This window comes from Homo sapiens, chromosome 22, assembly GCF_000001405.40.
Source record: "Homo sapiens chromosome 22, GRCh38.p14 Primary Assembly".
Classification (NCBI taxonomy): domain Eukaryota; kingdom Metazoa; phylum Chordata; class Mammalia; order Primates; family Hominidae; genus Homo; species Homo sapiens.
In genome coordinates, this window is record NC_000022.11 from 45,894,729 (window position 1) to 45,908,156 (window position 13,428).

At 55.2% G+C, this 13,428-nt stretch overlaps 2 annotated features.

Moving 5' to 3' along the window:
- Positions 881–1,764: an enhancer, noted in NCBI's record as "H3K27ac-H3K4me1 hESC enhancer chr22:46291489-46292372 (GRCh37/hg19 assembly coordinates)". NCBI's record gives its function as "activates a minimal SCP1, AML or CMV promoter by ChIP-STARR-seq in primed H9 embryonic stem cells {active_cell/tissue: H9 hESC(primed)}" and the evidence as "EXISTENCE:reporter gene assay evidence [ECO:0000049][PMID:30033119]".
- Positions 1,765–2,646: an enhancer, noted in NCBI's record as "H3K27ac-H3K4me1 hESC enhancer chr22:46292373-46293254 (GRCh37/hg19 assembly coordinates)". NCBI's record gives its function as "activates a minimal SCP1, AML or CMV promoter by ChIP-STARR-seq in primed H9 embryonic stem cells {active_cell/tissue: H9 hESC(primed)}" and the evidence as "EXISTENCE:reporter gene assay evidence [ECO:0000049][PMID:30033119]".

Genomic DNA, 13,428 nt, shown 5'->3' on the forward strand with positions numbered 1-13,428 from the left:
AATTAAGATTGATCCAGGCCCGGCGCAGTGGCTCATGCCTGTAATCCCAACACTTTGGGAGGCCGAGGTGGGCATATCACTAGAGGTCGGGAGTTCGAGTCCAGCCTGGCCAATTTGGTAAAAACTGTCTCTACTGAAAATACAAAAATTAGCTGGGCACGGTGGCAGGTGCCTTTAATCCCAGCTGCTTGGGAGGCTGAGGCATGAGAATCGCTTGAACCCAGGAGGAAGAGGTTGCCGTGAGCCAAGATTGCGCCACTGCACTCTAGCCTGGGTGACAGAGTGAGACTCCATCTCAAAACAAACAAACAAACAAACAACCCAAAAAATTAGCTGGGTGTGGTTGCTGGTGCCTGTAATCCCAGCTACTCGGGAGGCTGAGGCAGGAGAATCACTTGAACCCGGGAGGTGGAGGTTGCAGTGAGCCGAGATTGCACCACTGCACTCCAGCCTGGGCAACAGAGCAAGACTCCCTCTCAAAAAAAAAAAAGAAAGAAAGAAAGAAAGATTAATTCAAACTTTGAAGATTGCAGGAAAATTGATGGAAACAAACTTTAAAAATAATAAGGCCATATTTTAAAAATACACTGTACTGCGAAATACATAGAGACAGATGGGCTCAAAAATGCGAGTATGACCAAGACTCAATATTCCACATGTGTTATTTTTCAAAGGTCAGATAGTCAATATATTGGCACTCACCGTGTGCATGCCAGGCTCTTGGAGGGGACTCGGCCTAGCCCCTGCAGAGGCCACAGCGTAAAGTGGTCAACACCTCGGGGTGGCAAGGGCCCTCGACAGACTCCAACCTGCCTTCCTGATAGCTCCTTCCTGCCTCCTTTTGACTTAAACTTCTCCTCCATCATCACCTCCTCCAGAAGCCTTCCCAGGACCCAGACAGTTTTCCATGGCCCCCGACTTCCCTCATCAGGGCCTTGCCCAGCGAGGAGGCAGTGAAGGCTTCTGGACGAGGGGGCCTGGAGCTTTTTCTTGGAGGTAAGCAGGAGTCTGCCTGGCAGAGAAGGCAGGCGAGGACCCAGGTGGGGTCTGAGGTCAGGCAGGGAAGGTGGAGGGTGGAGGACATGGCTGGGGAGAGGGCTGTGGTCTCAGCAGCACTGAGGTTGGTGGCCCCTGTCCTTGCAGCAGGCCTGGGAAGGACAGGCCTCTGAAGGCCACAGGGAGAAGCCACCCGGTACCAGAGCCAGGCTCTGACCCCAGCCATCCTGCCGGCCGCGGTGCTGCCTCCGTGCATCTTCTCCAGGATGCTGAGCTCTGTCCCCAGAGCCCAGGGGAGGCTTCCATGCTGCAGATCTGGCAATGGGAGTGCTGGGAGCAGCGCCTGTGCAGACTCCGGCTGTGGATGAAGCTTTATTAGCCCAGGCAGGGAGTGGGGCCACACAGCCGTCAGGGCAGCGTTGGGTGGAGAAAAACGTGACAGCGTGCCCCTTACAGATGGAGCCATGGAGGCCAAGGTGCATGGCTCAAGTAGCTGCAGACTGGAGACAGAGCACTGAGCTAGGGGTCCTGAGCCCCTGTCCTCCAGGGCTCTGCCCTTCACACCGAGAACTGCATCCTCAGCCATCAAGGGCCAAGCTGCTCCGGCTGTCCACAGGGGACCCATGGTTGACCAAGGTGGAGGCCCTGGGGATGCAGAACTGGATGCTGGGAAGAGCTGGCTCCTCCTAGCTCTGTTTTACAGAGATGGGAACTGAGGTCTAGAGAGATGCAGCTGGCTTGCCAGAGACCACAAGGAGGGCAGCTGCTTCCCCAGATGCCAGGTCCCTGGGGCTGGAGAGGGGCCTCTGGGCAGAGCCCTTCTCAGGAGGGAGCCTCGTGGTGGCTCTTTCTTATGGAGGAGAATAGAGGGAGGAGGCAGGAGGGGAGGAAGGCAGGCCCTGTCTGACCATGCAGCTTCTTGTAAAAACCTAAGAAAAGCTGCCGGGAAACTCATCCGCAACCGGTTTGGCCAGTTCCTAACATCCTCCCTGAGAACCTGGGTTCAGGCTCACTGTTGCCGAGCCATTCTCCCAGGCCTCCTGTGCGCTATGCGCTGGCCGGGCCTTACGGTGGGGAGGGGCCTCCCCCATGGGCTTCGTTCCCAGGCCTGTAGCATGAGGACTTGTCTGCAGTCACCGAGAGCCCCTCTGGTCCTAACACCCTGGTCACGGCCTGGCACTGAGCCCTGGAGAAAGAGCGTGACGCTGATCCCTCGCTGGCCGCCTGTCCAGCACCAAGCAGGGATCTCGCATCCTCCAGCTTTGGTTTTGCCTCACCCCAGCCCCTGATGGGGGAAACTTTCTCCCAGTCAAGGGAACGTATGTCCCAAGAGGGGCTTGTAAGTGATAGAGAACCAGAGCAGCCCACCAGAGTGATCTTCCCCCACCCACCCTAGCCCCACACAGGAACGCTCCATGGCTCTCCGTTGGCCAGAGTCCAAACTGCCAGGCCTGGAGTTTCAGATGTCTCAGGACACAGCTCTTCCTCCTGCTCCAATCTTACTCCCTATAAATTTGCCTAATGGAGCACTGGGCTGCCTGGGATCCCACTCTCAGAGGATGAGAGTCCTTAATTCTGGCAGTGCCCAGGCCAGGGTGGGGGTGAAAGGCCCGGTGTGCCTGCTGGGAGTGGATGATTATCTAGAGATTGGGCAGGAGGGTCTGGGGGTGCTCAGAGGCTGATGGGAGGGGCCTGGCCCCAAGTGGGGACTTTGGGCTTGGGCAGAGGCACTGGCAGCCCAGGTGTCAGGCAGAGTTCAAGCTCTGGAGTGGGGGTCTGGGTGGCCCTCACCACCCATTTCTGGCCTTGTGGACTTGGCCAGGCCACTAAAGCTCTCTCAGCCTCAATTTCCCCATCCAGACATAGGGTTATTCCCCAACACACACCCTATGGGGCTGTGGGGAAGATGGTCCTTCACACAGGGCCCATCAAATGTTCTTAAAAACCAAGTGAATAAAGGAACGAAAAAATGGGTGGGAGGTGACAAGAAGTGGTTTTCCAATCTATCCAGAGACCAAGATGCCCAGGGGCTATCAAGGCCATACTCCCCACAGGCCTGGCTCAAGGTCACAGAGAGTGGGGGCAGGCGGCCTCACTGGCACCTGGCTCCAGGTGGCCTCAGGCTTCCTGTTCACACCTACCTGGGGCGTAACTCTAGAACTCTCTACACAGGGCCTCAAGGAGTCTGAGTTAGTGCCAGGCAGGGCAGGGCCAGCAGTTGAGGACTGGCCAGTTTGAATGATTTCTGTGGGCTCTAAACATAGGGCTGGTGTCCAGCTGCCTGGTCCCTGGCCCAGGGGCGATTATGGCCAAGGAATATCGCCTCCCAGGGGCTACACACCAGGCAGAGGAGGACGGGCTCTGGACTGGAGGTCTGCGTACCAAAGGCCTGATCCAGGTGGGCCCTTTGTGGTCTCTAAGGATTGGCTAGCCTGGGAAGGGTCATTCTCTCCCCAACCAGAAAGGTTTTATGGGTTTTTTTGTTTTTGTTTTTGTTTTTAGACAGGGTCTTGCTCTGTCACCCAGGCTGGAATGCAGCGATGCAATCACAGCTCACTGCAGCCTCAACCTCCTGGACTCAAGCAATGTTCCCACCTCAGCCTCTCAAGTAGCTGGGACCACAGGCTTGCACCACTGTTCCGAGCTAATTTTTTATTTTTTATTTTTATTTTTTTAGAGATGGGGTCTTGCTATGTTGCTCAGGCTGGCAGAAAGGTTTAAGATGTCAAAACGTTACTATATGAGGGAAAAATACTTAGACACACACAAAATACACCTGTGTACCTGGGGAGTTACGTCCACATCCCTTGGGGTCCTTGTTCTCTTCACCTGTAAAGTCTGGACAGAAGTGCCTGGAAAACCTCCCTGTGGCCCCTACCTCCTGCAGGGGCCACCCCAGGAGGCCAGGCAGCCCAGCTCAAGCCCCGGCTGACCTTTCCACTCACATGTCTCCCTTACACTTCACAGTTTGCAAAGAGCTTTCTGCCTGTGGTCTGACCTGGCCTCACTCCCTCTTTGAGGAGGGCTGGGGTCCTTGCCCCTAATGTGCAGGTAAAGAAACAAACCCTGACAAGAGAGGTGACTTGTCCAAGGTACCACGGGGACCCCAGCTCCCTTCCTGTCTGCCCCAGAGCATCGATGGGGACCTCTTGCCAGGATGGCTCTGGGGAGCCAGTGGGGGGAGATGTCCACCTCGTGGCACTGGGAACCCCGCCCAGGCTGCCACCCAGGTTGGTCTGGTTGGTGAAATTGTTAATGTTCAAACCACAGCCAGGAATTCCTACCTTTCCACACGCCCCCGCCCCATGTAGATAGACTCACCGAGTGCCTGAAAAACAAGCTCACCCATGATGGGGAAGTAAGGATGGGGTCTCCCTGCCCACTTGCCTCCCACCCAGAGGCAGGGGCCTTCCCGGGCAACAAGGCACCCTGGAGACCATGGGGCCAGCAGAGAAGACACCGCAAGCAGCGGGCCAGCGACAGGTAAAGTCCTTCTAACCATGGCATCTCTCAAAAACTGCAGAAGCCATTTTGCTTAATTAAAAAGAGTAATATAGTAATACATAGACTTGCTAGAAAGCTACAGTCATCGAGACAGTAAAACAATAGACAGATCAATGGAACAGAATAGAGAACCCAGAAATAAATAGACCCACCTATATGAGGTCAATTGCTCTTTGTTTATTTTTTGTTTTTTGCTTTTTGTTTTTTGAGACCAAGCCTCTCTCTGTCACCCAGGCTGGAGTGCAGTAGTCCGATCTCAGCTCACTGCAGCCTCCGCTTCCCGGTTCAAGCAATTCTCCTACCTCAGCCTCCTGAGTAGTTGGGATTACAGGCATGTGCCACCACGCCCAGCTAATTTTTGTGTTTTTGGTAGAGATGGAGTTTCACCATGTTGCTCAGGCTGGTCTCGAATTCCTGACCTCAATTGATCTGCCCGCCTTGGCCTCCCAAAGTGCTGGGATTGCAAGCGTGAGCCACCGCGCCCAGCCTCAACTGTTCTTTGACAAAGGAGCAAAGACAGTCTTTTAACCAATGGTGCAAGAACAGGTGGACATCCACGTGCATAAAAACAAACCTAGACACAGACCTTACACCAGTCACAAAAATCAACTCAAAATGGATCATAGGCCCGAGTGTAAAACACAAAACTGTAACATTCCTGGAGGATAACAGAGGAGAAGATCTAGGTGACTTGGGGCTCGTCAATGACTTTAGTGGCAACATCAAAGCAGAATCCAGGAAAAAAAGAATTGATGATTTGAACATTTAGCTTCTGTGAAGACAATATGAAAATTCTGGGAGAATTTAAACTTCTGTGAAAGACACTATGAGAAGAATAGAAAGACAAGGCACAGACTGGGAGACATGTTTCCAAAGCTCATCAGGTAACTGGTATCCAAAATATACGAAGAACTCTTAAAACTCAACAATAAGAAAACAAACAACCCAATTAAAAAATGGGCAAAAGATCAGAAAAGATTCCTCACCAGAGATGAGAAATAAACGTATTTAATATCTTGGCTGGGCACAGTGGCTCACGCCTGTAATCCCAGCACTTTGGGAGGCCAAAGCGGGTGGATCACTTGAGGTCAGGAGTTTGAGACCAGCCTGGCCAATATGGTGAAACCCCATCTCTATTAAAAATACAAAAAATTAGATGGGCGTAGTGATAGGCACCTGTAATCCCAGCTTCTTGGGAGGCTGAGGCAGGAGAATCGCTTGAACCAGGGAGGTGGAGGTTGCAGTGAGCCAAGATGGCGCCATTGCACTCCAGCCTGGGCAACAAGAACAAAACTCTGTCTCAGAAAAAAAGAAGAAAGAAATGTATTTAATATCTTATAGGATGAGCCACTGATGGCAGACAGGCACATGAAAAGGTGCCTAACGCCGGGCAATTACAAATGAAAACAGTGAGCTATCACGACACACCTATCAGAATGGTCCAAATCCAAAACACTAACAACGCCAGATGCTGGTGAGCATGTGGGACCGCATTTGGTGGGAATGCAAAATGGTACCGCACCGTGGAGGACAGGTCGACTGTGTCTTACAAAGCTAAACATACCCTTTCTGTATGATCCAGCAGCCTCACCCCTTGGGATTTACTCACAGAAACCTGCACACACATGTTTATCGCAGCTGCATTCATGATCACCAAAACTTAGAAGCTGAGATGTCCTTCTGGAGGTCAAGGGACCAGTAAGCAGTGGTGCAGCCAGACCGTGGAGAATTACTCAGCACCAAGAAGAAAGGAGCTCTCCAGCCATGGAAAGACATGGAGGAAATGCTTTTTTTTTTCTTTAACATTTTTTATTTTTATTTTTTTGAGACAGGGTCTCACTCTGTTGACTGGAGCGCAGTGGTGTGATCACAGCTCACTGCAGCCTCGACTTCCCGGGCTCAAGCAATCCTCCCACCTCAGCCTCCCAAGTACCTGGAACTACAGGTGTGCATCACCACGTCTGGCTCATTTTTAAAAATGTTTTGTAGAGTCAAGGTCTCACTATGTTGCCCAGGCTGGTCTTGAACTCCTGGGCTTAAGTAATCCATCCGCCTTGGCCTCCCAAAATGCTGGGATCACAGGCATGAGCCACTATGCCAAGCCTGACACAGAGAAAATGTAAATGCAGCCGGGCGCGGTGGCTCACGCCTGTAATCCCAGCACTTTGGGAGGCCGAGGTGGGCGGATCACAACGTCAGGAGATCAAGACCATCCTGGCTAACACGGTGAAACCTCATCTCTACTAAAAATACAAAAAAAAATTAGCCGGGCCTGGTGGCGGGTGCCTGTAGTCCCAGCTACTCGGGAGGCTGAGGCAGGAGAATGGCGTGAACCCGGGAGGCGGAGCTGGCAGTGAGCCGAGATGGTGCCACTCCACTGCACTCCAGTCTGGGCCACAGAGCAAGACTCCGTCTCAAAAAAAAAAAAAAAAAAATGTAAATGCATCTCACTAAGTGAAAGAAGCCAGTCTGAAAAGGCTACAGCATGATTCCAAATAGACGACATTCGGAAAAAGGCAAAACTCTGGAGACAGTGAAAGGATCAGTGGCTGCCAGGGGTTGGGGCGGGAGGGATGCCTGGACTGAGCAGAGGGGGTGCTCAGGCGGGGAAGCGGCTCTGTGTGACTCTGTGATGGAGGAACCGTGTCGTTATTCACCTGCCCAGACCCACAGAATGCCCAGCGCCAAGAGGGACCCCTAATGTAAACCATGGGCTTGAGTTAGTGATCTATCATATTAGCTCTTCAGTTGCAAGGAATATGCCACATGAATGCAGGATGTTAATAATAGAGGAAACTGTAGGGGAACAAATGGGAATGCTTTGTACTTTCCCCTGAATTTCTCTGTAACCCTAAAGCTGCTCCAAAAAACTAAAGTCTTTTTTTTCTTTTTTTTTTTTGAGACGGAGTCCTGCTCTGTCGCCCAGGCTGGATTGCAATGGTGCAATCTCGGCTCACTGCAACCTCTGCCTTCCGGGTTCAAGCGATTCCCCTGCCTCAGCCTCCCCAGTAGCTGGGAATACAGGCATGTGCCACCATGCTCTGCTATTTTTTGTATTTTTAGTAGAGATGGGGTTTCACCATGTTGGCCAGGCTGGTCTCGAACGCCTGACGTCAGGTGATCCTCCCACCTTGGCATCTCACAGTGTTGAGATTACAGGCATGAGCCACTGCCCCCAGCCCTATTTTTTTTTTAAAGTAATACATGAGTTACAAACACACAATAGCATGGGCAGGCTGGGCACAGTGGCTCATGCCTGTGGCCCCAGCTACTCAGGAGGCTGAGGTGGGACGATGGTTTGAGCCCAGAAGGTCAAGGCCGCAGTGAGCCGTGATTGTGCCACTGCACTCCAGCGTGGGTGAGAGAGTGAGACCCTGTTTCAAAAAATAAAATAAAATAAAATAAAAAAGAGACAGTAATATGGGTGAGTCTTATAAACACGATGTTGAACAAAGAAGCCAGCCAGCAAAGAGGATGGGGTGTGTGAGCCGTTCCTGTGCGGTGTAAAAACAGGTGATAGCGACCCACGGTGCCACGGTCGGGAGCGAGGCCCCTGATGGGACCGTGGCCATCGTCCACGTCCTGCCTCTGGCCTGGGTGCCCGTGACATGGAGGGTTTGGTTTCTGAAAATCTGCTGGGTTGTGTACTTCTACTGCGTCCGCTTTCCTGTGGGTTACACTTCACTAAAGAGTTCCAGAAAAAATAGTGTTTGCGGTAGAAAACTGGAAATCCCAGAAAAGGAGAAGGAAGATGCCACCCCTCATCTACTTAATGCCGAAGGGGGTGTCTGGCTGCAGAAGACCCTGGCCCTGGGCCGGGCTGGGGGACTCCGTCCTCACTGGGGACAGCTGAGCACAGGGCCAGCTGGGAGGAGGGTCAGTGGCACTCAGGAGAGCCTCCCAAAATGTGTGAATCACAGCGTCTTGGAAGGATGTTCTCCTGGCTCAGGAAGCGCCCCCTCGATGCCACTGCAGCCTGGCCCAGAAGCCAGGGGGACTCGGTTCCTGCTGCTGAGGGGGTCCCAGGTTGGTGGCCCAGCCTTTGGAAGGCATGGAGGGGCAGGGACGCCCACAGCCTGTGCTAGGACAGGCACCTGAGTCCCCTCCTGGTGCCCCATCCCAGCATCTCTGAGCTACCCCAGGGTACCCTGCGTCCTCCCAGAGGTGGTGGCGGGGCTGGGGCTGGGTGGTGACATCATGGGTTGAGCTGTGCCAGTTCTTTCCCGACCTCGGAAACCCCAACATCCCGCTCCAGGAACTGGCCTGCGGCGTTGGCTTTGGCTGGGCGCCCCAGGAGTGTGGCAGGGAGGCCCGGGGCCCCCATCCCCCCAGCAGTCAGCCCTGAGGCCCCCCCCTTCCCTTCGGGGGCTCCCAGGGAGCCTGGGCCAAGTGTGAGAACCAGCAGGGTCAGCTCCTCAGGTCCTGCCCCCGCCCCTGCCCCTCCTCTACTGCAAGAAAAATAAACAGCTGTCCCGTCTCTCTGAGACTGGAAACACCACCGCAGCCGCAGCCTCGGCCGAGCTATGGGGCTGACTCACTGCCCGCCCTGGGCGGGGGCAGCGAGAAGGGGCCGGGGCTGCCCTGAGGAGCCCTGTGGTGACCCTTCTTTCCACTGTGCCAGGGGGACGGGAGGACACGTCCATCTCAGGACTCCTGAGCTCGGCCACGTCACCCTGCTCTCCCTCTGGCCACTCTGTGACCTTTGTCAGCCAGGCCTTGACCTCTCCTGGCCCCAGGGTCCTCATCGGCCCAAACGCAGGCTGGAGCATCTCTTGCTCTGTCCACGGTTGTGAACAGGGAGGAGCATGGTGGCTGGGTTCAGGGGTCCACCCTGGGGCCTCATGTAGTAGAGCAGGAAAATAAATGTGTCGGAGTGACTTTCATCAAGGGTGGAAATGGAAACCTGTGTTCCTGGGCGCCTCGATCATTCGGGAATCTGATGATCCTGAAGTCACCATCGGTCTCCCACGCCTCCTGCGCTCGTCCTTCAAGCCTTCTTTCTTTTCCACGGATACCTTCCAGTGTTCCCAGGCCAGCTCCCTCCTGTGGGTGGAGGGCGTGGGCAGGAGGGCAGTCCCTTTTCTCCGAGACCCTTGGTTGAAGCTCCAGGCAGCTTCTCAGAGCCTTACAGCCAGCCTTGCACTGCAACTTACCAGGGGCCTCGCAGGCCTTAATGAAGCACCTCTGTGTGCCAGGCTGAGCCCCTTGTCCTTGGAGATGACTCAAACGCGGGCTGGCCACATAAAGGGAACTGATAAGGGCAGGGATGAATTGGAGATACGCAACCTTTTTTAAATTTAACTTTCCAGTTCAGGTTTTATAGTACATGTGCAGGTTTGTTAAATAGGTAAAGTTGGTCATAGGGGTTTGTTGTACAGATTATTCCATCCCCCAGGTATTAAGCCCAGTACCCATTAGTTATTTTTCCTGATCCTCTCCCTCCACCGACCCTCCACCCTCAAGTAGGCCCCGGTGTGTGTGGCTCCCCTCTATGTATCCATGAGTTCTCATCATTTGGCTCCCACTTATATGTGAGAACATGCGGTATTTGGTTTTCTGTTCCTGCATGAGTTTGCTAAGGATAATATAATGGCCTCCAGCTCCATCCATGTTCCTGCAAAGGAGGCGATCTTGTTCTTTTTTATGGCTGCATAGCGTCCCATGGTGTATATGGACCACATTTTCTTTATCCAGTCTACCGTTGATGGGCATTTAGGTTGATTCCATGTCTTTGCTGTTGTGAATAGTGCTGCAGTGAACACACATATGCATGTGTCTCTATAATAGAATGATGTCTATTCGTTTGGGTGTATACCCAGGAATGGGATTGCTAGGTTGAATGGTATTTCTGTTTTTAGATCTCTGAGGAATCGCCACACCATTGTCCACAAGGGTTGAGATAATCTGCGCTCCCCGCGGCGGTGCACAGGTGTTCCTTTTGGAGAGATGTGATTTGCTGCCCAAGCAGGGGCAGCGGCATGGTGACCGTCATAAGAGCCATGTGAGTGGAAGACGGAGGCTCGCTGGGACAACGAGGCCTTCCTGTGCCGGGCAGAAGGGTTATCCTGGGTTGGGTGTGGGTGAGGACGGAGAGGTAGCTGGGCAAAGGTGGAGAGGTGACTGTGGCTGGAACGTGGGGCACAGACAAGTGTACCTTTGGGGCAGTGCTGAGACACTTGTCCCCGCACAGGAGCTCCGAAGACTCACAGGCTCTGGGGGATAACGAGGGAGGAGCTGGATGCTGAGGAGAGGGCCTGGCAGGGCAGGGCGGATCAGAGGGCGACGGAGCCCTGCTGGGTTCCCACGCCGGACAGCGGGGCAGGTGTGGCCTTGGGGTCAGCAAGCGGCGGGAGGCGCGGGAAAGCCGGGAGTCTGGCCCTGGCGGGCAGCAGTGCCAACCAATTAACCTGTAATCGCCCAGGGAGATGCTAAGAGGATTTGCCTTTTGTCCGGCTAATTATTCTGCTTGGACACTTTTCCTTTCCTCGGGGAGCTCAGGCCCTTTGCAGAACTTTAATTAAAAGGAAGCCGCTTTCTCAATTACCCCAAGGGCGGGGCAACCGGTGAAAACCGCAGGGTTGCCCTCCCCGGCTCAAGCTGATGGTCTGGGGGTCTTCCTTATCTGACCCCTGGGCCAGCCGGGGAACCTTCCACTGTGCCCCTGACAATGCGGTGAGGACTGCCGCTAAGGTCACGGAGGGAGAGGGAGCTCCTGCCCCGAGGTAGGAGGCCCCCAGTGCTTGCTCTCCCAGCCCCTCAGGCAGGAGCCGACAGCTCCCAGGAGCAGAGCTGCACTGACAAGGGCTCTGAGATCCACAGTGAGGTCCCGGGGCCGCTCCCGGAGCCCTGACCACTGGCCACTTCCTGGTCCCCACAGGACCTTTGCGGGGCAGCCATTGCCGAACCGTAATGCTGAGTGAGGTCCACAAGTGTTGAAGGACCTGGAGTCCAGCCTGTGAGCTCCCCACACCCGTGCCCAGCCCCACGGAGCTCCCAGGAGGGCAGTGAATGTTCACTGCTGCCAAAGGAATGCTGTGAGATCACAGAAGTCAAATTGCTGGCTGTTAACACGAGCGAGGCACGGCCGCTGTCCATTGCGTGCCAGCCGCGCTGACTGCCGAGCTTTCAGGGCCTCCTCCAGTCCTGATGTCTTCCGCAGGGTGGCCCAAGCCCTGTTTTACTGAGGAAGAAACGGAGGCCCCTGGGGTGAAGGAACTTGCCCAGGATCAGCCTTGTCAGGTCCCTGTCACTGGTGGCTTCCTCCGTGGGTGTGTGAGCGCTCTGGGCTAACGGGATCCCTGCTCTGCCCCCAGGGCCTCAGGGCCCAGCTGAGGCTGATGGGCTGATGGGCTGGTGGGCTGGTGGAGGAAGATGCCCTCCTGTGGGGCTGACCACAGCTGCAGCCATGGATACACCCAAGCCAGGCTCTCCCCGAAGCGAGGGGGGAGCTAGCCCCCGCATCCACAGAGGCACAGTCACACGCTCAGCCCCGTCCGTGTCCGGGCTTTGACTGTGCTGCCTATGCTGCCACTGCCAGCAGCAGACACTCTGCCTGCCTCTGTGCCCTGCACACGCCACATAGGCTACGTGGTCACGATGGAGCTGTAAGGGAGAGAGCCCCATTTTGCAGATGAGCAAACTGAGGCTCGGAGATGTTAGGACACCCAGATCTGGGTCTATGCGGGAGCAAAGGAGCTGGGCACTGATATCAAGGCCGTGCCAGGCCCCAAATTCTGGCCAGTCCCTTTCGGTGCAGGGTCCCGCCAGCCCCTCAGGAGTTCAGGCTCTGCTCCGGGCTGGGAGAGGGGTGGGGTCGTGGGACTTGGCTGGGAGGTTGCACCGCACGGCCCTCACAGGCCTTGGAGCAGGTCAGCAGGGACTGGGCCCTGGAAACCCTGCCCCTGAGCTCGTCTGTGCAGCACTGGGGCTTCCTGGAGGAGGTGGCACGTGAACAGATCTCGAAGGATGCACAGTTTAGCAGACAGAGAAGGCAGGATGCTCACCTTGGGCAAGAGGCAGTGAGCCGGTGGACCTGGCCGGGAGCAGTGGCCCGAAGAAAGGGCCCTGCGGTCCTGTGGGTCTGAGCATGGGCCTCACTGGCCCAATTCACAGGGAACCTTGGGAGACGTTTGGACTCCCAGTAGCCATGGCGCCCTGCGGCGGACCCGGACTGACCCCTGTGTGGTCCTGCGTGGCGTGGAGAGGGGAATGGGGCGGTCTGCTCTTTGGAGAATGCTCCTGCTCTCTTCTAAGGCAGAATTGGAGCTTCGCGAATTCATTCATTCACTCACGTATCCATTCACTTGTTCTTCCGTTTGTCTATTCTACCTTCATTTGTTCTTATTCGTGTGTTCACTCATTCACTTATTCATTCACTTGCTCATTCATTTCTTCATTCCCTCGTGGCTTCTCCTTCACCCTACTCTCTCCTTCATTCCTTCACTCACTCACTCTTTCACTGGTCTTTCATTCCTGGGTTCAATCCATTCTTTCACTGTTCAGGAGGCTTCGGCAGGTGCCGGTGTGGGGCTCACAAGGAGGGACCTTCCCACAAAGGAGGTGATCAGCAGTGGCAGACGGCAGGTGTGAGGCCCATGTGAGGGGTTTTAGAGCAGCCAGCGGGTGGGACCTGCCCAAGTGCTTCCCTGGCCCTGGGGTGGGGCAGGCAGTGGCCCAGGTATGGTGTTCCTGGCCCTGCACACTCTGGACCCAGCCCCAGCTGCTGGGGACCCTCAGGCCTCCCAGAGCTCCCCTCCCCTGCGGGCACCCAGGGCAGAAACCAGCCGGCCTCAGCTCCCTGGGGTCCTTCCCTTGTCACCACCAGTCAGGCTGGGAAGGTCCAATTCTGCCCTGGGCAGCGGGGCCAGCACTGCCTTCTCTGTGGCCCGCTAACCTCCGCACCTCACTGAGCCCTGGACCTGCCCGGGC